The following is a 23063-nucleotide window of genomic DNA, read 5'->3' on the forward strand; positions in this document are numbered from 1 at the left end:
AAGAAGTCTAATGAGCAGGACGTATGGTGGGGAGTCAGTCACTGCTCAGCCCTTCCTGCTGCCCTGTGCTCTAGTTCCAGGCCTCTTAGGGATGGGGCAGAGGGTGGCAGTAGGATCAGCTAGGTGAGAGTTATGGGGAGGAAGAACCGTTCACCATTCTTGGTTCAGGGTCAAGTTCAACAGACGCTGGGGTGGAGGCGATGGGAGGAACAAAACTTGGCTCCCACTTTACCAAAGGCCTCATTTTAGGCCTGAGTAATTAAGACTGCATTCTGGTGGAGAGAAGAGAAGTTCACCTAACAATATTGTCTCAAAAAAGTCCACCTTAAAAAAAACAGGCACATTTAGATGGTGAAAGATAGTGGAGTGCGTGGTGATTATTCATTTACAAGAATGATGCTTTTTGTTTTTCAAGAATTCACTACTCTGGGAGTCCTTGACTGAGTGAGCAGACTTCCTAGTGCATGCTACAATGAGCTTCAGGAAACCCAGATTTGATTTATGCAGTTTTGGAAGAACAGCTCTTGAAATGAATGCAGTTTATCTCACACGGCCTCGCCCGCACATGAACATAGATGGACCCAATCGCATCCCTTTCCCAGATGCAGTTACCTTCGGTGCCGTCTGGCTCCGCCTGCTCCTCACGCTGCTTCTGCTTGAACTTCATGTTCCCATAATGCATCACGGCTCCCGTCAGTTTGTAGATCCCGACTTTCTCCTCTGAGCTGAAGCCCAGGATGTCAATGGCATTCTGGAAAGAAAAAAAGGACAACTGTCATAGCAGGAATCAGGGATCCATATGCAGCCTTTTCTTGGCAAAGACCTTACCTCTTTTTTGTATAGCATATGAGACAGCATTTGCCCAAATAAGTGGATGACAGGTGGGGATGTGGTAAATTAGAAACCATTTGTTTCACGTGTTTGTGTGGGTGGGTGAAGACTATGGGAAAAAGATGTGAATTGTCTGTTTCCTTCCATCAAATAAGAACTGATTACAGTCGGGCGCGGTGGCTCACGCCTGTAATCCCAGCACTTTGAGAGGCCAGGGCAGGCAGATTACGAGGTCAGGAGTTTGAGACCATCCTGGCCAACATGGCGACGCTCCATCTCTACTAAAAATACAAAAAATTAGCCAGGCATGGTGGCTGGCACCTGTAGTCCCAGCTACTCAGGATGCTGAGGCAGGAGAATCACTTGAACCTGGGAGGCGGAGGTTGGAGTGAGCCAAGATTGTACCATTGCACTCCAGCCTGGGAGACAGAGTGAGACTCCATCTCAAAAAAAAAAAAAAAGAGAACTGATTATGATCTTTTCTCACTGTACATAGATTTGGGGGAGCAGTTTTCTGGATGAGGCGATTGGGAACCATTGTATGATACTGAGAGCTGGGAATGTCATGGAGAATGACTGGGAAATAATGTTTAATGGCTTAAGAGTTTGGCATTGTAATCCAGGAGTTCCAGCATTGTTCAGACTCAAGACAATATGCATTATGGAATATTAGATCTGGAAGGGAAGATCATCAAAGATGGCATCATCATTTCCCAAATGAGAAAGGGGCAAGCTTTTGCAGAGCTCTTTCTATGTGCTAGACATTGGGTAGGCATCATCTGTATGTTATTAAATCCCCATGAAGCCCCTTTAGCTGTGCAGGTTTTTCCAGATTTCTGGATGAAGAATTGAGGGTCTAGTTGGTAAGTAGCCTGTCATACAGGGAGGGTGTGATAAGACTGGGACTGGAGTTAGGTCTTGGTCCCTTCAAAACCTAGGGTCATTGCTGGTTTGGTTTTATAATCATGTTGCCTGTCTTCCACCACAAAGGTTTCAACAAAAAGAAATCCTTCTCTGGGGTACACATATTGATTATGCAGTAGGGTTTGCAGCCTGAGCCTGTAGAGTGTCCATTGGTAGGATTGAAACATGTTTGGACGTGTTTGGTGAGCACGTAGGATAGACCCAATAGGCCAACACCAGCAGGATGATATTGGAGAGTCAAGCATTCTTGGAGTGGCACCCCCTTTAGTGGAGAATGAGCCTATGCCAGGAGCTGGGATATATGGGGAGGAGAGATTCCGAGGCCATGATGGCCATCCCTTGAATCCATATCCCATTTCAGGGTTGCATATCTCTGTCCTAGGGAAGGGTCGTTGTAGGTTAAAAGAGAAAGAACTCTTTCAAAAACACTAAAAGGAGCAGGTGAAAGCGTCACTGCCTGGGGACCCTTTTGGAGAATGTCATCTCCAAAGGGGTGCAGGTGGAACCTGGGTATATGATGGGATGTCACTCCCATTATGAAGTTACCAATCAGTTGACTTTGAGTTCATAAAAAGGGAGACTATACCAGGCAGGCTATAAAAGCTCCGTGAGGCCAGGCGCGGTAGCTCACATCTGTAATCCCAGCACTTTGGAAGGCCGAGGTGGGTGGATCACAAGGCTAGGAGTTCAAGACCAGCCTGGCCAACATGGGGAAACCCCTTCTCTACTAAAAATACAAAAATTAGCCGAGCGTGGTGACAGGTGCCTGTCATCCCAGCTACTTGGGAGGCTGAGGCAGAGAATTGCTTGAACCTGGGAGGCAGAAGTTGCAGTGAGCCGAGATCGCACCACTGCACTCCAGCCTGGGGACAGAGCGAGACTCCATCTCAAAAAAAACAAAAAACAAAAAACCAAAAAAAGGCTCCGTGAGAGGAAGGAGCAACAGCCGCATCTGGCAGAAGGCATCTTGGTGAGGACATGACTTAGGTAAGGTGACTTTTAGAATTCCTTAGGTGGGCCTTTCTCAGTGGATGGGGGCCTTGTAGCAGTCATTAGCCTGGCCCTTTCTGTGCTTACAAGTTAGTGAAGACTGGGGAAACCTCATTAAAAATATATAACAACTTAAATTAAATTTGGTCTAAAACTGCCTCCATACATAGCAAACTATAACCTAAATTAGTATGTAAACAAACTGCAACCTAAGAGTATATTCTTGTAACAAATAGCTGAGTCTCAGCCAGTCACAGCAGCTGAGCTTCAGCCAATCACAGCAGCTGAGCTTCAGCCAATCACAGCAGCTGAGTCTCAGCCAATCACAGCAGCTGAGCTTCAGCCAATCACAGGCTGCCAAACTGATGGGCCATTGTGCATATAACACAAATGCTTCATCACACCACCTGCAGATAAGGCAAAGGCAGACCTGTACCTAATCAAGCTGTTTCTGTATGTCACTTCCTTTTTCTGCCTATAAATACTGCCTGCCATGTTGCTGGGTGGAGCTCTCTGAGCCTCTCCAGGTGCTGAGTGTGGTCCAACTCATGAATCATTCTTTGCACAAATAAACTCTGCTAAATTTAATTTGTCTCAAATTTTTCTTTTAACACTATTAGACCTAAGATAACAAGTTTATTTGATCATGAAAATTTTTCTATTTGTGTTAAAACAATTATTATCAGCTGGAAATGTCACCAAATGAAGGCTAAGAAGCTGGTCATGGGGCAGTGTCTCTAGGATGATGGACAAGACCCCTTTTCGCAAGCTCTTGAAGCTTTTGTATGGGTGGAGCCAACAAGGGTGGAGATGAATTGCTCACAGACGGTATACTTTAATTAAAAATGTAAGCTCTGTAGTTAGGCAGACCTGTGTTTAAATACTCTGTCATTGGGCCTGGTGCAGTGGCTCATGCTTGTAATCCCAGCACTTTGGGAGGCTGAGCTGGGTGGATCACCAGAGATCAGGAGTTTGAGACCAGCCTGGCCAACATGGCGAAACCCCAATTCTACTAAAAATACACACACACAAAATTAGCCAGGCATGGTGGTGCATGCCTTGTAGTTCCAGCTACTTGGGAGGCTGAGGCAAGAGAATCTCTTGAACCCAGGAGGCGGAGGTTGCCGTGAGCTGAGATCATGCCATTGCACTCCAGCCTGGGCGACAGAGCGAGACTCTGTCTGAAAAAAGAAAGAAAAGAAAAGAAGAGAAGAAAGAAGGAGAGAGAGAGGAAGGAAGGAAAGAAGGAAGGAAGGAAGGAAGGAAGGAAGGAAGGAAGGGAAAGACTCTGTCATTGACGAATTGTGTCTTCCAGAAAATTATATATATTTTAAGAATCAGCTTCCACATTTGTAAAATGGAGACAATAATGACATAATTTTGAGACTATAATGAGACAATGCAGGTAAAGCCACTTATCTCAGTGCCTGGCACATGTAAGTGCTCAATATATTTGGTTATTATTGTTATTAAGATTATTAATCCTACAGGTACTTCCCCAAAATAAACACCACAGGCCTGACAGGTGTACTGAGGAGCTGAGTGTCTAAGGTGAGCCTAAAGTGAAAGGCAGAAAGAAAAATGGAGAGGCTATTACAGAGTGGGCTTGGTTTTCTGCTTTATACATTTTTATATTTTCTAAATTTTCTTGAAGAACCATGTAGATGGTTTTGCAACATGAAAACTTTCAACGAATGTTAGGTTAAAGATCTTATAAATGCAAAAATGCATTCCAGTTAAAATGTTAGAGAACAGAACTGAAGGCCTGCTTTGGTGAACCTTCTGGATTTCCATTTTGGAATGCTGTGAGGTGGAGCTGAGTAGGGAGGGGCCAATCTGTGCTAATTCTCTGAGCTCTTGATCTCTGAGATCTTGAGTCTAATCACTTAGTATCCCTGGATTTCAGCTTTCCCATTAGCTCACTAACGTGTCTCTCAGTTCATAAACTCAATAATTCTGTGCATAAACAGACAAATAAATGGCATGCTTACATCTGTCGCCAGCAGTTCTTCACTGTCATCGATACTGGCTACCGTGACCTCTCCTTGGCTCACGAAGGGGAAGTCGAAGGGGTTGGTGGAGATCAGAAGCAGGTCTGTGAAACACAGATATCCCTTTAATGGCTTATGCATAACTTACTCTGGGTTGTTTTTTTTTTCCCAACGTCACCGATTTGGAACATAAGAAAGGTATTCCAAGAGCTTACCAATTAGTTCTGGCTTCTTGTTTGACATAATTTGGTAGAAAATATGATAGCTTCTCTCACTGGATAATTGAAACGTCACTCTGGATTTTTCTAACAGATCTAAGGTAACAAAAATAACGTGATTTCAGGCTCCCAAGAGATGCTTTTGTGGCCAAAACACCAACGGATTTATAGAGTGTTTGGACTCACAAGTTTCGATGTCTGCCGATGCCAGCTTTCCTGTGGCTCCAAAATGAATCCGAATGAACTTCCCCTGTCCAATAACAGGTGGACAAATGTTACGGTTATTTGATTTATATGGTTTTGTGGCTGGCCTTAGATAGGTGCTGCCACAGATAAATTATAAATGCAAAAATGCTAGAGAACAGAACTGAAGGCCTGCTTTGGTGAACCTTCTGGATTTGCATTTTGGAATGCTGTGAGGAGGAGCTGAGTAGGGAGGGGCCAATCTGTGCTGATTCTCTGAGCCCTTGATGTCTGAGATCTTGAGTCTAATCACTTAGTATCCCTGGATTTCAGTTTTCCCATTAGCTCACTAACATGTCTCTCAGTTCATAAACTCAATAATTCTGTCCGTAAACAAACAAATAAATGGCATGCTTACATCTGTCGCCAACAATTCTTCACTGTCATTGATATTGGCCACCATGACCTCTCCTTGGCTCAGAAGGAAGGGATGCCAGAACATGGGCACCTCTCCACCGGGTGCCCAGTGCTCCCAAGCTGGGTCAGCAAGGACTCAGGTAGCTCTACCCAAGCACCTGTCCCTGTTCCCACAACTCAGGGGATGCCCACAGGCTCCTTCTCCAGCTCTCTTCTTGGGACTACTCCATTCTTGACTGCCTGCCTGGTTTTCATCCTGTTCTCTTATACCTGGATTCTTAAATCTTCATAACACCTTTTAATTGTAACTGGTTGGATTGTTCTGTCTGACTTTTTTTTTTTTTTTTTTTTTTTTTTTTTTTTTTTTTTTGCTTGTATCTTAATAGATGCTACTTCTGAGATTTCTTGCCTGAGTTTCACATATGGCTGACTACAGACAAATCTGGCTCAGAGGCCCGGGCTCAGGCTCAGGCCTGGCTCCCTGGCTGCCAAAAGAACAACTCAGGGTCTAGGTGGCCCACTTTCTGGGGAGTGGGAGGTAAAATTTCATATGCGTGTTTGTGTGTATGCACCTGCTTCATACATTATCTGCTTAATTGGTCCTCAACGACACTGTGCGCAAATTTGAGGACAAAAAATGTTTTCTTGCTTTTTCACCCACAGTGTCTGAAATGTGGATGGTACTTAGTACTAGCCTCAATATTTTCTGAATGAACCCCAGGAAAAGTTAGTGAAGGATCAGTAAAGGCACATGTGCACTGTAAGTGCTGTGTCTTCAGTATATTTAGCGGCTTAACAGAAGACAATGGAAGTCATCCCTAGCCTGCAAATATTTGGAGGGTGGAAAGAGGACAAAATAATTAGAATGATTGTGACTTCTGGGTCAGGGCTAAGAGTAGAGGCCCATGAACTAAGTAAATGGGAATGAGAAGAGGGAGTGCCTGAAGGTATTGTCTTTCACTTTAAGCTGGTGTCAGGCCAGTGCAATAACTAACTTGGTCCAGGCATGGGTAACATACCTCTGCCATGTAACATGTGCCCAGATCTTCCACAAGGAAGAGGAGTTTATTTGGGCACTGGGGAGGATACAGGTGCAAACTGGCAGTGCACAGGGTACAAAGAACATATCCAAGGAAACAAAAGTCAAGGCTCAGAGCCATGGTCCTTGATGGATTACCTACTTCCTCATTGATAACCATTTTATCTTTCAGGCGACGAAATACAAGTTTGAGACTATCCAACTATTAAGATGTGTGAAGTTTTAATGTACTTTTGCAACCATAGGCACAAATGATGGCTTTGCCTCTGAGTACTTGCTCCACTGGCCAGTGAAATGAAATAGAGGGCTGGATGTGTGTTTATTTCCGATGGGAAGTAAATGTCTTTTTGATTAAGCCAAACCTAAGTAAAAAGTTGAAGGATGGCATATATCCTTCAATATCTTCAGTATGAATCTATTCCAATATTTTTTTCTTTTTTTTGAGACAGAGTTGCCCTCTGTTGCCCAGGCTGGAGTGCAGTGTTGCAACTTCGGCTCCCTGCAACCTCCACCTCCCGGGTTCAAGCGATTCTCCTGCCTCAGCCTCCCAAGTAGCTGGGATTACAGGCATGTGCCACCATGCCCAGCTAATTTTTTGTATTTTTAGTAGAGATGGGGTTTCGTCATGCTGGTCAGGCTCGTCTCAAACTCCTGGTCTCAAGTGATCCGCCCCCCTCAGCCTCCCAAAGTGCTGGGATTACAGGCGTGAGCCACCGCGCCCAGACTATTTCAAATTTTTGAGCTCTTCTGCCTTCACTAGGTTTTCCCTGCTCCCAGTCCCTACTGAGTTGGAAGAGGTCAAATCTGCTAACTTAATTCACACTAAGGTTTCCGTGGCTAGACCAATAGATATGGCTTAATGGACGTTAACATTTTAAAATGTTTCCACACAGAGAGACCCATTTTAGCATAAAGTTGATCTCTAATTGTGGGATTTGAATCATGTGAGTGACTTCAGGATGCTGTGAGGTGACATTGCCTAGTTAGGGTAGGACGGCAAATCCTCCCTCTGCCAGGACCAAGCCAACACCTTCCTCAAAGTGTATCACAATATTCCAGGTGGGTAGATTGATCTCAATCACTTGGGGGTAGAAAAAGGCCCCCATATATTCCAGTTTATGGGGCAGTTTTTCATATCCAGCATTTCAGGAGAGGGTATGCTTTTGGGAGGATACTTGAAAATTGGGCCGGATCTTACAAATCTTGAGGAGTTGTCATTCCTCACAGTCTTGGCATTTCCAAAGGCCTCCAGCAGTGGGTTGGCCTGGATGATCTGATCCTCTAGGGTTCCCTAATAATAAACAAGAAGAGGAAAAAGAGGACTTTGGATGGTTTTCTAAAGTAGCCCCTTGATGACTAAAACGGTGGGTACTCTGGGCAGGTTCAGGTAGAGATGTCGACCAGCTCCACCTGGTGGTCAGTGCAGCACCCACGCCCCCACCCCCACCAGACCTGAGGCGTCTTCAAGGTACCATCTTAGACAGGTTCTTATTAGCATAGCATTGAAGTGACTTCTGGTCATGCCAGGTTCTAGGCAGGAATATTACTCCCTCCATCAGAACATCCAGACTGCCTTTCTGATAACATTTCATTATAAATCATGGATTTTTATAACATGCACCTCTGTTATTGCATGTAATATGACCCACCTAATATAGATATTTGTCTTCAGAAGGAGAAATAGAATGTGAGCAAAGCAAGCGACCCAGGGGATGATACAATAACAACAGTGGTTCTCAAAAAGGTTTTTTATGTAGCAAAAACTTATGAGAATGATTATTCAGAAATCCACTACAGAAAGCAGAGTTTTCACCTTCACCTCCATGACTGCTTTATCCTTCTGGGTCCAGAGCAATTTAGAAACTACTGTCAAACCTAGTGGTTCTCAAAGTGTGGTCCCTGGACCAGCAGCATGAACACTACCTGGGAATATATGAGAAATGCCAGGTATGGTAGTTCACACTCGTAATTAGCACTTTGGAAGGCTGAGGCAGGAGGATTACTTGAGGCCAACGGTCTGATACCAGCCTAGGAAAGATAGTGAGACTCCATCTCTACAAAAAATTAAAAAAAAACTAGCCAGGCATGGTGGTTCCTGTAGTCTTAGCTACTTGGAAGGCTGAAGGATGATCGCTTGAGCCCAGGAGTTTGAAGTCACAGTGAGCTATGATGGTGTGCCACTGTACTCCAGCCTGGGTGACAGAGTGAGACCCTGTCTCTCCAAAATAAAAAGGAAAAAAAGATGCAAACTATGAGGTCCCACCCTAGATCTACACAATCAGGAATTCTGGGCCTGGGTTCTGCCGCCCTTTGTTAAGAATCTCTCCTGTTGATTCTGATGTGTACTCCAGTTTGAAAACCACTGGTGTAAACATTCCTTCTCCAGAGGAGGATGTGGAGTTGGTCAAGGTCCCTCAACTGTAGGTGATGGAGCTGGTGCTAGAACTCAAGTCCATTCTGGTGGAACCACTTCCTGCTTTGCTCCATGTGATACTGTGATGTAATAGGAATGGTATATTTTGGTCTTTTTCCAGTTTCCTGGTACGCAGCTCCTAAAACCCTTGGAATATCTGAAGTGATAAATGTCTTTTTGTGTGCTAATGAGATGATTGGTGGCTTCGGGGTCCTGGACAGCTCAGGATGGGGGCTGGCTGCCAGGGAACCAACCGCGTGATTAGAGAGTTGGAACTTTCAGCCCTATTCCTGACCCCTGGGAAGGAAAGAAGGGCTGGAGGTTGAGTCAATCATCAATGGCCAGTGATTTAATTAATCATGCTCATGTAATGCAACCTCTATAAAAACCCTACACAGAAGGCTTCAGAGAGGTTCCAGGTTGATGAACACCTAGAGGTACTGGGAGGATGTCACCTGCAGAGACCCTGCCCCTCCCCCATACCTTGCCCTAGACATCTTTTCCACTTGGCTTTTCCTCTGCATCCTTTGTAACAGCCTTTATAACAAACTGGCAAATGTAAGCAAAGTGTTTCTCTGAGTTCTGTGAAGCACTCTAGGTAATTACCAAACCTGAGACGGGGGTCGTGAGCTCCTCCCAATTAATAGCTGCTTGCTTAGAAGTTCAGGAGGCCCGGACTGGTCCCTGGTATCCAAAGTGGGGTCAGTTTTGCAGGACTGAGCCCTTAACTTGTGTGATTTGATGCTTTCTCTAGGTAGTTAGTATCAGAATTGAATTGAATTGTAGGACACCCAGTTGGTGTCTGCAGAGAATTAGAGAATTGTTTGGCATGGAAAAACCCCATACATTTGATGGCAGACACGTTCTGTGTGAGGATACAGAGAGGAAAGAAAGAATTTTTCCTATTTGCCGTTTCTACTGAGCGCATACCCTGCATACACTTGGTGCTCATCCACGCTTTAAAGTATACTTATTCCAGTAAGCCTCCGGATGCAGGTGGGGCTGCTCACCTGCATTTTGCCTGGCTGTGTCTCCTTCTTCTTGTCCCCGGTAACTGCAATTGTTGCAAAATACTGGATGACACGCTTGGTGTTCACAGTCTTCCCAGCCCCGGATTCTCCGCTGCCAATTTAAAAGTAAACGGGATAAAGGAGAGTGGAAGGGAGGGCACTGGTTTCCAAGTCATGATGGTACAAAGAGGTGTTACTCACGTGATGAGGATAGACTGGTTGTCTCGATCTAGAAATGCAGAGGGAAGCAAAACAAAACAAATAAACAACAAACAGAATGTTAAAATAAAGTAACATTGGGGGTGGTTGGAGAACATAGGCTCTAGTTAATGTCTTTGCCATTAACCACTGGTATGATTTGGGCATGTCTAATCTTCTTTGGGACAATTTAGGCAGATTTCTCAAATGTGGGATGTGCAACATGACCAGCCTGGGAGGTGAATGATTCTCTACTCACTGTAGTGAATCCCACAGTGTAGAAGTTACTCATGTTTATAGATCTTTAACTCCCTGCTAGTCCTTTCCCATCGCCCTTTTCCATAAAGAAAGCAAGTGTCAGGTTCAGAGCTTGTGGGGCCACAGCTTTTCATCAGCATTTATAGATGCTGGTTGGTTTCATTGCATTTTTCTTTTACCTTTACCTTCTACTTGTGAAAAGTGATACTGGTTTTTCATTTACAATAGAGCATGGATTGAACTGTGTCCTCCTAAAATTCACATATTGAATTTCTAACCCCTAGTACCTCAGAATATGACCTTATTTGGAAATAAGATGTAAACAAGATGCAGGGGTAATTACTCAAGATGAGGTCATGCTGGAGTAGGGCAAGCCCCTGATCTAATATGACTGGTATCCTTATAAACAGAAGAAATTTGGAGACACACAAGCACATGGGGAGAATGCCATATGAAGATTAAGGCAGGGATCAGGGTGATGCTTCTACAAATAAAAAACAACAAAGATTTCTGCTAGCAAACCATAGAAGCTAGGAGAGAGAGACATGGGCCAGATTCTCTCTCAGCGTCCTCAGACTAACCAATCCTGATGACACCTTGACTTCGGACTTCAATCCTCTAGAACTGTGGGAAAGTACATTTCTATTGTGTAAGCCCCCCAGTCTGTGATACTGGAGCAGCCATAGCAAACTAATAGAAATTGTGGTATTAGTCTTCCCTTTAAAATTAATGTAACATGAACTAATTTCAAGAAAAATATTAAGTTTGCAGACATGGCAAGGATTGTGATTGTGAGACAGAAATGACAGAAGTTTGGACACCATTGCATTAGATGATTTTTAAGCATCTACAGGTCTCAGATTCAGATGCTAGACTCTTTTTTTTTTTTTTTTGAGACGGAGTTTTGCTCTTTTTGCCCAGGCTGAAGTGCAGTGGCGAGATCTCAGCTCACCGCAACCTCCTCCTCCCAGGTGCAAGCAATTGTCCTGCCTCAGCCTCCTGAGTAGCTGGGATTACAGGCACCCACTACCATGACTGGCTAATTTTTTTGTATTTTTACTAGAGAGAGGGTTTCATCATGTTGGCCAGGCTGGCCCCGAACTCCTGACCTCAGGTGATCCACCTGCCTCGGCCTCCCAAAGTGCTGGGATTACAGGTGTGAGCCACCGCACCCAGCCTTGCTTCTACTTCTAGCATCTGTTCCAAGTCAAGTCAGGTGAAGGTTGAACAGACAGACTTGATATTAGGCATCATGGCATGACAGTGTTACCATGTCCTTACTCCCCAGGTCATTCTGGAAATTAAAGGAGGTGAAGGGGAGCCTGAGTTTGGGGAAGAACGCAGGAACACTGCTTTACCCATTTCTCCAACGTAGCATTCCCTGAGTGGCTACTGATATGGTTTCTCTTCAAAGTACACCTGGATTGGGGGTTCCCTGGGGACAAAGGTAGGGCATCTCCTTGTGTTCCACATTCTCCCAAATAAGCAAGAGCTCAGTGTAGCTTCAGCCATAATCACAGGCCTTGTCATGCACTGTGACTGGCAATGGAAGATGTTGTACCCTTTGCTTTTCATCCCCAAATCATCTGACTCTCCGAAGATCCTTTGATTATTGCACCATTCAGATGGCCAACGCCCATCAAAAGCTTGAAAAATTAACTAAGGATGGCTTCAAAAAATATGAATCAAAGAAATTACTCACCAGTCAGCATGAACTGATAGGCATTGTCAGAGATGGAGAAGATGTGGGGCGGGGCCTCCTGGCGCTTTTTGCCTCTGTAGGCAGCCACCACCTCGGGCTTGTACACCGGCAGCCACTTGTAGGGGTTGACGGTGACACAGAAGAGGCCTGAGTAGGTCTGGGAAGATCAGAACATTTATCATTTGGATCTCGTTTTTACTCAGAGAGAGACATGAAATAAAAAGGTGTTTACAGACACTCACGTAGATCATCCAGGCTGCATAGCGCTCTTTGAGGTTGTACAGAACAGCAGGTTCATGCAGGTGAGTCATCATGGCCATGTCCTCGATCTTGTCAAATTTGGGAGGGTTCATGGGGAAGACCTGGTCATTGTTCAGAGTGAGCATCTGGGTATTGAGAGGAAAAGCAGGTAATAAATTGGTGAGCCAAGTGCCCACATTGCACTTTACTGGTGTGGTGGAAGTAGTGAGATATTGTGGAGGAATTACCGCATTGTGATGGATAATTTCATGGATCATTTCCATGCCCCAACATGATCCATAAATAACAGTTCTTGAAGAATCTGATTCTGGTCAAACTATGTAACCAATTCTGGTCTGATGCCCCTCAGTCATCCTGCTGTCGTGTGTACCAGGAGTGGGTTACAGGTGTGCAGAGCTTTGGAGCCCTTTGCCTCTGTTTACCCTATTTGTTGTGAGTGCTGTGATGAGACAAAGGTTGGAAGGTTACAAAGAACTGCTCCAAAGTGTTCTGTGTTTTTCCACCTCAAAATCTCTGCTCATGAGGTTTCCTTCAGCTGGAATGTCTTCATGAAAATTTTGTTTAGAAACCTTCAAAGCTCAGCTCTAGCACCAACTCTTCCACGACCCATCTCCTCTCTCCCCTATTGCTTCAAGGCTCCCATAATTATTTGTACCTCTGCTCTAATAGTTCAGACATTTGGGGGTGCATCATGGTTCTTTGCTGAATATTTTCAGAATATTATTTAATTTTTTTTCCCTCTGTTTTTTTCCCACCTCTCTCCCCCATTCAAGCTGGCTCTGCACTCCATGGCTCAGGAGAGACAGAAAATAGGGCAAGAACAGCTACTAGGGAGGCTGAGGCAGGAGAATGGCGTGAATCCGGGAGGCGGAGCTTGCAGTGAGCCGAGATCACGCCACTGCACTCCAGCCTGGGCGACACAGTGAGACTCCGTCTCAAAAAAAAAAAAAAAAAAAAATAGGGCAAGAAAAGAAAAAGAGCTTGTAATACTTCCTGGATTTTGTTTTCCAAAAACCTAAGTCCTTAGGAAAACTTTGAGGGTTTCACAGAAAAGATAAAAGGAAGGAGTTTTGCTGGTATAGACCAAATTTTTTGAGGAAGGAAAGGCCTTCCACTCCACCACCCAAGACTAGAAAAAGAGAAACAGACACCCAAGGTAGCCAAAGGGGAGGTAGAAAAGTCTATGTATCCTGAATCTTTAAGGACTGGGACTTGTTTCTGAATAAATCCTCCAGGGAGGCTGTGAGTCCCCCGTGTAGTGCTGTGTAAGGTTCTGAAAATGTGACATATTCCTGAGGCGGTGGTGAGGGCACCCCAAGAGTGACTGAACACATTTTTCCCCAGCCCACTGAAAAAGGACTGGAATTAGAGGTTAAGTTTAATAACAAAAAATAAAAGCAAGGTCTCTCTCATATGCCTGAGTTTGTGAAATGAGATTCATACCTGCCATATACATCTTTGGGAAACTTTGGGAAAGCAGGTGCAGAGGTATGCTTATATTTGCAAAGCGATCAATGCTATGACCTAGACCTGGTAGATGTCCGGTAAGTACTGAATGGTACATGATAATTCTCCACATTAAGTGAGTCAATGGCTCCTGAGCTTCCTCTGTAGCAGCCACTCTGCAGCCCAGAGAGGTATAATTGGTCGGCCCATCCAGTATCAGCCTCTTCCTTAAATAGACCAACCTTTTCTGCCCTCACCTGCTGCTTTCCTCTAAAGCAAACACCACAAAACCCCTCAAAGCCCAAGTCCTTGGAGAAGGAAAGAGGCAAGAGTGAAGGTGCATGTAATAGCAGCTTTCATCTGCTACTTCACCGCAGAACAGATAAACTAAGTTTTGTTCTGTCTTCAGATTCCGAAGGACCAGCATGCAATTTCTAATATTCTACTCCAAAGAAAAATGAGCATGCCCATATTATCAAAGACATCTGTAATCAACACTCACCCGGTCATCGAGGGTCTTGACTATGACTTTGTCATTTTCCCTAGTCTGGATCATGCCTTTCACATACATTTCCTTATTATCCGCTACAAAGCAGGCTTTCTTGGAATCGAATGGACGATTTTGAGCCTCGATTCTCTCCTTCTCTGGTTTCCGGAGGTAGGGAGCTGCTTCTCCAAAAATGGCCATTTCTGCGTCAGAGCTCATGACTGCAGAGGGCTGGGAAGACCAGAGGGACTGCTGAGTCTTGTGCTTGGGTGACTGCTGAAGCTGCAGGGCCCCTACCCTTATTCTATTAAAACGGGGCCAGATTCAAAGGCTCCTAGATTGAACATAGGTCCTGAGGGATCTATGGCCAGGTCTAGGAGCTTAAAGTGTGCAAGTGGGAATAAGCTAAAGGGGATATTTTATTCTAACAAAAAAGTATGAAGGTTTTTTTTTTTATCCTCTGAGTGTCGATTTTGGGAATATTTTAGTTCAGTCCCATGTGTGCATGTCTGAATCAATTAGAGCCATGGTGAACTCAATAAAAGAGGCTTCAGGAAGCACTTTCTTTCTTTCTTTCTTTTGAGACAGAGTTTTGCTCCTGTCACCCAGGCTGGAGTGCAATGGCTCGATCTCGGCTCTGCAACCTCCGCCTCCCAGGTTCAAGCGATTCTCCTCCCTCCCCTCCTGAGTAGCTGGGATCACAGGTGCCCACCACCACACCCAGCTATTTTTTTTATATTTTTAGTAGAGAGAGGGTTTAACCATGTTGGCCAGGCTGGTCTTGAACTCCTGACCTCAGGTAATCTGCCCGCCTTGACCTCCCAAAGTGCTGGGATTACAGGCGTGAGCCACCGCCTCCATCCTAGGAAGCACTTTCTAAATCGCTCATCGTGTTTGAGCCTGTGATCTCAGTGTCAGTTTAAAATCTTAAGAATATTTGAAAATCGTCACTGGAATGCTGATAATTCTTAATAGACATTTTGGTTAGCCCCGTGAAAAGTGAATGACTTGAACATGAAGATTTGTCACATTTGTTTAAATAACAAGATGATGGGAGGCAAAATGGCCCAGGGCAATGGTCCCAAACTTTAACATGCCAGAATCCCCTTGAGGGGTTGTTAAAGCACAGATTACGGGCCCTATCCCCATGGTTTCTGATTCAGTAGGCCTGAAGTGGGGCCCAAAAATGGGCATTTCTAGCAAGTTCCCAGGTGATGCAGATGCTGCTGATCCAGGGACCACACTGAGGATGGCTGGCATAGTGCCTTCCTGTTCCCAGGGTGGTCCTTGAAATGCAGCAGCTTCATGCAGGACTTCATTAAGAAATGCAGAATCTCAGACCCACCCAAGATAATGGGATCAGCACCTGCTTTTTAACAAGATCCCCAGGTAATTTCTATGCATAGGAGATGGGGAAGTACTGGGCCTCTAAACTCTAAACGCGGTCTCTAAACTTTGTGCGTGGCGGTGTCAGGGTGTGACAAATATTGTTTAGTTAGATTAATACCCACCTTAGAACTTGCTGCATGGTGTGTGTGTGTGTGTGTGTGTGTGTGTGTGTGTGTGTGTGTGTGTATGGGGCTGTGTGTGTGTAGGGGGTATTGGTCTCTCTCATCCCTTGTATCACTTTCTCCTAAACTATCTCCCTTTGCTGCCTTTCTTGCTCTTCTCTTTATGTATTTTTTCCTTCTTTTATGTAATGTATTGTCCCTGCTTAGAATGCAGAAAATTCATCTTAAAGTCCTAGCACTGATCAAACCACTTAAGCTCTCTGGTCCACAGCCTCTTCCCACTTATAAGGGAGAAGCCAGCCTCACTCCTGTCTAAGGTTCCCGTAAGTCCTGTGTGGACTGTTCCTCTTCTCAGAATTTGCTTCTCTCATTCCCCCTCGGCACCTCTTCCCTCTACTCCACTACCTATTTTCCTCAAGTCTCTTTCCTCTTTCCTTCCCTTCTCTCCTCTTTTCCTTCCCACTTAATTCTATAACTGACATAAAATGGAGTCAAGTCATACACACACACACGCACACCCACACATATCTCTCCATATCTCTCTTAAGAAATAAATCTGTTTTTTTTTTTTTTTTTGAGATGGAGTCTTGCTCTGTCTCCCAGGCTGGAGTGTAATGGCACAATCTCGGTTCACTGCAACCTCCACCTCCCGGGTTCGAGCAATTCTCCTGCCTCAGTCTCTTGAGTAGTTGGGATTACAGGCGCCCACCACCACACCCGGCTAATTTTTGTATTCTTAGTAGAGATGGGGTTTTGCCATGTTAGTCAGGCTGGTCTTGAACTCCTGACCTCAGGTGATCCGCCCACCTTGGCCTCCCAAAGTGCTGGGATTACAGGTGTAAGCCTCCATGCCCCGCCTGAAATACGTCATATTTTTTGAATAAGGTCTTTTATGTCCTCTTTTTATAGTGGGAAAGTTGAACATGTTATAGTTCTCTCCCCCATCTTAGCCTTTATGAAATTGCTCTCTTTATTGGTAACTGGCCATTGTTGAAATATCCTTTCCTGTGATTCTGTGGGGTTCTGTCTTACAGAAAGAAAAGCATCCACTTCCCATGGGGCCTTATTCAGATAAGTTGCATTTTAGTTATACTTTGTTCAGTGGCTCTGCTGAACCATCTGTGGGTTCATGGTTAGGTTTTCATAGTAAGGGACTGGAATTCAAATGCAGCACCCACAAATAAGACTCTTGGCCTGCAGCCATCATGCTGGTTTAGAGTCTCTCAGTTACCACCTGGAGGATGAGAAAGAATTCATCCACATGGCTTTCTTCTCTCATTTCTTTGAAGATAGTCCCTAATGTAATGGCTTAGGTGGATTTCGCTACAGCAGCGGTTCTCAAACTTTGTGGTTTCAGGACGCCTTCGCACTCTTAAAACTAAATGACTGAAAGCCCCATAAGATTTGGTTTATGTAAGTCATATCTATTGATATTTACCATATTGAAAATTAAAATTGAGAAATTAAAAAATATTTATTCATTAACTAAAAATTACTGTCAAATTCATTACATTAACATAAACATTTTATTTTATTATTTTATTGAGATGGAGTCTCAATGTGTCATCCAGGCTAGAGTATAGTGGCGCAATCTCAGCTCACTGCAACCTCCACCTCCCGGGTTCAAGTGATTCTCCTGCCTCAGCCTCCTGAGTAGCTGGGATTATAGGTGCCCACCACCATGCCCAGCTAATTTTTGTATTTTTAGTACAGACGGGTTTTCACCATGTTGGCCAGGCTGGTCTTGAACTCCTGACCTCAAGTGATCCTCCCGCCTCAGCTTCCCAAAGTGCTGGGATTAAAGGCATGAGCCACCGTGCCTGGCCAACATAAATATTTTAATAAAAATTACCATATTTTCCAAAACAAAAAGACTAGTGAGAAGGGTAGTGTTTTCATTTTTTGCAAATCTCTTTAATGTCTCCTTAATGGAAGACTGTTGGATTCTCATATCTGCTTCTGTATTCATGCCATTGCTGTATGTTTGGTGAAAGTAAATATAAAATATTTAGCTATGTAATTCAGAAAAGGAAAGAGTATTTTAGTCACCTTTTCAAATAATTGTGAATTTTCTTCTCAGATACTCTACCAAAACTTGACAAGTGGTAGTTTCTTAAAGGCTAGTTGCAATGCGGAATCTGAAGCCATATCAATAAACATTTTGTACTCTGTTACATTATAATCCACTAGTCTGTCTTGCATTTTGAGTGGATCTTCTTTTCCCATATGTGAATTTCATACAGTGGTTGTTTGGAAAATACTGGTTCACTGAATTATATAGTACTTCCAAATGTGGACACATTTTCTTACACAATATTAAAAAAATTACAATCATCAATATCACCAGTGTGATATCATTTGAAAATTCTTTCAGTACTAGGAAGTTGTCAAGCTAATGGTGGCAAATACATGTTTTCCTGTATGCATTCTCATTTATACTTGAAGGCTCAAAGTTGTGATTTATAACAAATGCTGTCAGTTTTTTCCTCGAGACGACAACCACATTGTTCCTTTTGGAGAACATGTTTGCCAAATATCCAAGTCTGAATAACCATAGCTTGTCTGCTAGTTGGTCTTTTAAATAAAAATGGTGCTTTATGAATAAAATGGCCAGTTCAGCTTGCAACTCACACAAATGCACATGTGCTTTTCCAGGAGACAACCATCAAACTTTGGTGGACTTCCCATTTCATCACATAAAATTGTTAATGAAACTTTTTAGTGCAAGTGTATGGTAGTGAAGAATACAGTAATTACTAATACAGTTTGGTGCGGTGCCTTGATTTGTAATAAGGTACCAGCCATTTATTCATCCTTGCTTTTGCATCACTCATGCAGTGAAAATGGCAAATAACAGCTGGGTATTATTGTGAAAGAGTTTTAGCCTCAAGTGCCTCCTAAAAAGTTCTTGGGACTCTACAAGAACCCACAGACCACACTTTGAGAATGGCTGCCCTATTGCATAAGGGAATCCTGACTGGTTACAGGTTTACGACCTTATAATATGTAGCTTGACTTAGCGTTAAGCATGATACCCAAAAGTGTTGGAAGATGATTTACTTCAAAACCCTCTGCAACATAATCTCTATGGCTGGGACCAGGGAATCTGATTTTTTGATAAGGTCCTCAGAGAGATGTTTGGGAACTACTGATTTAAAGCATTACTTTGCTTGTATGAAACTACTCTGTTTTTCTAAAGCCAAAACCATGGCACAGTCTCATTGCTTGTACACAAAATAATTTTAGGCAAATATTTCTTAATTTAATATTTGTATGCTTATTTTAAAGCCTATTACCTTATTTTATCAAAATTTGCCATCAATTATAACTTCCACAAATAAAAAAATGCAGCTAATTTAAACTGCAATGCTTCTTTCATAGATTGTAATATGCATCCTCATTTCAGGGATAAATTTGTAAAAAATATAAAAAAATCAGAATTGATGGAAATAGGGTAATATTTGTTTAACACTTAGGAAGCGTGCTACATCCATGTATTCTATGATATAAATCAGTGTTTGTCAAACTTAAATGGGCATATGAATCCTACTGTGAATATTCACTAGGTCTGGAGTTGGGTTTGAGCTTTTAAATATCTTACAAATTTCTCAGCTAATGCTGATACAGCAAGAATATAAGGTAACTTTAAAAACAAATAAGAAAAGAAAATGAATCAATGTAAATACAAATATTAAGTAAATTGACAGTATTGGTGTTAACATGGCTATTGCAAAACTTGTGATGGCAATAGGAGAATAAAGTCTGAAGTCAGGGAAAGGCTGCCATAGCTGATAGTTGAGCCATATTTTTAGTCCTCCTGGAAAAACAAGGCTTTTCCCTGTGGGCCTCACTGACAGTTTTCAAGTAGAGATTTTTTCTCCCTTCATTTACTCTAACCGTGACTCAGAACCCAGTATCTCCTAGTAGTATTACCTAGATGATGTTTGAGTTATCCCTCCATATTCCTGCAATGGTGCATCTAACCTAGTTGGATACTTTTAGGCACAACTCTTTTCCCTTTGATAGGCCAAAGATTCTTCTTGCTTTAAATTAAAATCTGGCTCTCCATTTGTTCTCCATTTGAACAGCAGAAAGAGTTCAAACCTTCCTACGTGACAACTCTTCACCCTTTTGATGGCTGTTCTGTGTTCTGCTTAGCTTTATCTTCTCCATGCTAAATAGCCTCAACTTCCACTGGTTCTTCTATGATGTGCTTTTGAATCCCTTACCATCTCAGTCACTCTTCCCTGAACCCACTCCTGTTAATCTTTTAAAGTGTGATATCCAAACCACATGTCACCCTCCACTGGAGTGTGCCCTCACCTCTCTTGACCTAGGTGTCATGCTTGAGGTGGTGATTGCCTGTTGGCAGCCACGTCTCACACTGCTGACGCACCACTCCGTGTCGAGCAAAGCCCCTCAATCCTCTCCGTGCATGCAGTTGCTAAGTCAGATCTTCTCCCTATATTTGTGCAACTGTGAGTTGGGACCCAGGGGAAGACCATTCATTTTTGACTGATAAACTTCACCTTGTTAGATCTGACCCAAGTCTCTAGGCATGACTCATGCTGCCCACTGAGCACCACCCTCTAGAGTTTCCTTAATTAGCCTCTTCTCTGTTCCAAGAGCAGGACCTGCTTCCAACGTTGCATAGCTGTGCCCCTTCAACCACTCTGTTCCTGTCTTTAAGGGCCTTCTAATTGAGATGACTACCCCCGCCTGCCTAATCTCCATCACCCACTTGTGAGGGCTCCTCTCTCTCTGTTTACCCTCTGTGTACCATGACACTACTCTCAACTTTCATCCCTCTCCTGGGAATTTCACCGCTACTGTGTCTTGTCAGCAATGATGTGCTCATGATTCAATGACAGCTTGGCTTTTTTGGTCCCAATTCATCTAGAACTACCTCTAATAAACACACGTTTTAAGGGGATAGGGTTTTTATTACCGCACCGGGCATAGGATTGAACGGATCCCTCCCCATTCCTTCAGTATTACACGTGAGGGAAGGTGCAGCTGTGTGGATTCATGGGTGCAGACTCTGCTCAAGGAGCAGCAAAGTTAGCCTTTGTGTGAAGACTGCATTTGGACCCTATGAACATCATGTTCTGTGCCAACTAAGTACTGTGTATTGACTTGGAGCTTGTATGTCAAAATTCTGCATTATATTTCGTACATTTCAGTGTAATGAGCAAATAGGAGAAGCCATTCTTCCTTTGGTAAAACCTGTATATATTTTAAAATCTACCTTTAAGAATAGTTAAGTTATTGGTTTCAAACTCATCAATTTCGTCTTCTTATGAGTGTGGCAAGAATGAGAACGTGTAAAATGATGTTTGCTAATTTCAATGATTGCATTCATGATCAAGCTGAAAATAACCCTTACCTTCTTGGTTCCCAAGTGACAGTCAGTGTCCTTCAGGAATAAAGCGTCTTCCTGGGGATAATTTGAGAAAAAAAAACAAACCAAAAAAACCCAAATGAGCTACAAAGAGTTTAAATAAATATAGAAACCATGTTTGTTCCAGTTTATCTACCTTAAATAGATACACAGTAGATGGTGTGGAATGAAATAAATTTGCTGTTTTGAATTTTTACTTTTGATTAAAATCATTATTCTTTAAATAGTTGGTTAATTACAACATTTAATTAATACTCTCTTGAGAAACTTCTGTGTGTACAATGTACTGTGTCAGCTCCTTAAGGGGGTATGAAGAGGAAAGTACAGTATCTGCCCTATAGGAATGCAAAAGTTAGTAAGGGATAAGAGAATGCTCAAGTAAGTCTTTGAACAGGATTAAGACAAATTTTTAAGGAGTCTAAACAAAGTACTATGGGAACTTAGAGAAACCGCTTCTGACTGGGGGGCTGTGAGGGGTCAGGGAAGAAAGAAAGTAGGGAGGGGAATGCTCCAGATTGCAGCTTGGATGCTTAGGGGCAGTCACCTTTTTTTGGCAATAGGAGAAAAGTTATAAATTGTGGACAAAGACTTCTTTATTCTCTTCAATGCTCTAAATTCCTCCTGCAGATGATGAAGGTAGGGCAGCTGAAAAGTCACCTGGGACTAAGGAATCTCAGCTCTAGGAGTTTATAAACTACGTGGCTATCTCAAGGAGGCATGAGTGTCTGAAAAATTTTCAATATCAAATGTAATCTAAGCAAACTTCCCAATTACCATTCAGTGCTTTTATGGAGCCAGGGGAATATTTCATGAAGCCCTATTTAGGCAGGAACAGACACTTAGGATTTGGTTTACTATCCTTGTTGCCTCCTTCCTTCTCCGTCTTTAATGCATCTTAAATAATCTCCAGTTATATCCTAAAATTCTCACAATTTCTTAAAAAATTAAAGTATTACATACTATATTCTGAATCCTCAATTTAAAAAAATATGGAGGCAGAGCTACAGAAATTCTAATATCAGTTCTGTTAAGTAGCTGGTATGATTTCTTTGGGTTTCTGTTTCCTTCCGTAAAATGAATCAGATGCACCAGAAAATCTCCAAGATTCCTTTCAGCCCTATGAGTCTATAACAGACAGTTCTCCGTAGAGATGGTGGCCTGAATTCAAAGTATCACAAATCTCTGAGGGATGCTATTGCACTGTCAGACACAGTCCAGTCCCAAGTCCATAAAATATGCCATGTGAGAACAGTCTGCAAACCAGTCAATTCATATCAGACTATGACACTTTGTAAGATGGGTAAGATGCTTGGGATTATTTCCTCCCACAACCATTTTTCAGAAATCCTGACATGGGAAACAAATTAAATAAACATAAAAATTTCAAATAATAGCTTAAGCAATCACAGAAGAGATACCACAAGTTACCAAGTTAATTTGCTAACTGAACAGTATAACATTGACCTAAATAATCAGAGGAGGAATCATGCATTATACTCAGTTTTGTTCTGCAGGTGAATATTTTTTGTCTTATAATTGCTTATATTCTTGTCTTTTCACCCCTTGTAAAAGTTTCTTGAAAGGCAGTTGTCTTGTCTTTCCATCTTGTCTCCAACCTTGCCCTCAACACAAGACCTTGCACTTAGTAGGCCCTCCGTAAAGGCTACTTTATTGTCTTCCCCCCTTGACTGGTAACCTGATCAGGTGCAACTATAGCTACGTGGAGCAAAAAAGTGAGCACTTGTGAGCACTTACCTAGAGATGCTGCGGTCACAGCAATTTC

At 43.0% G+C, this 23063-nt stretch overlaps 1 protein-coding gene across 1 annotated transcript in view; it reads right to left on the reverse strand.

The window, feature by feature from the left end:
• Positions 1-23063, reverse strand: part of MYH13 (myosin heavy chain 13) — a 72142-nt gene extending 49079 nt beyond the window's left edge. Inside the window, exons 1-12 of the mRNA NM_003802.3 lie at positions 23036-23063; positions 21266-21316; positions 14384-14599; positions 12417-12560; positions 12175-12331; positions 10218-10245; positions 10017-10128; positions 7792-7884; positions 5141-5204; positions 4952-5050; positions 4737-4840; positions 613-751 (exon numbers count right to left, since the gene is read on the reverse strand). Of these exons, the coding sequence (NP_003793.2) occupies positions 613-751; positions 4737-4840; positions 4952-5050; positions 5141-5204; positions 7792-7884; positions 10017-10128; positions 10218-10245; positions 12175-12331; positions 12417-12560; positions 14384-14587 (1144 nt within the window). The 5' untranslated portion in view covers positions 14588-14599; positions 21266-21316; positions 23036-23063. The remainder of the gene's footprint in view (positions 1-612; positions 752-4736; positions 4841-4951; positions 5051-5140; positions 5205-7791; positions 7885-10016; positions 10129-10217; positions 10246-12174; positions 12332-12416; positions 12561-14383; positions 14600-21265; positions 21317-23035) is intronic.

The sequence above is a fragment of the Homo sapiens genome, chromosome 17, assembly GCF_000001405.40.
Source record: "Homo sapiens chromosome 17, GRCh38.p14 Primary Assembly".
In the NCBI taxonomy this organism is placed as follows: Eukaryota; Metazoa; Chordata; class Mammalia; order Primates; family Hominidae; genus Homo; species Homo sapiens.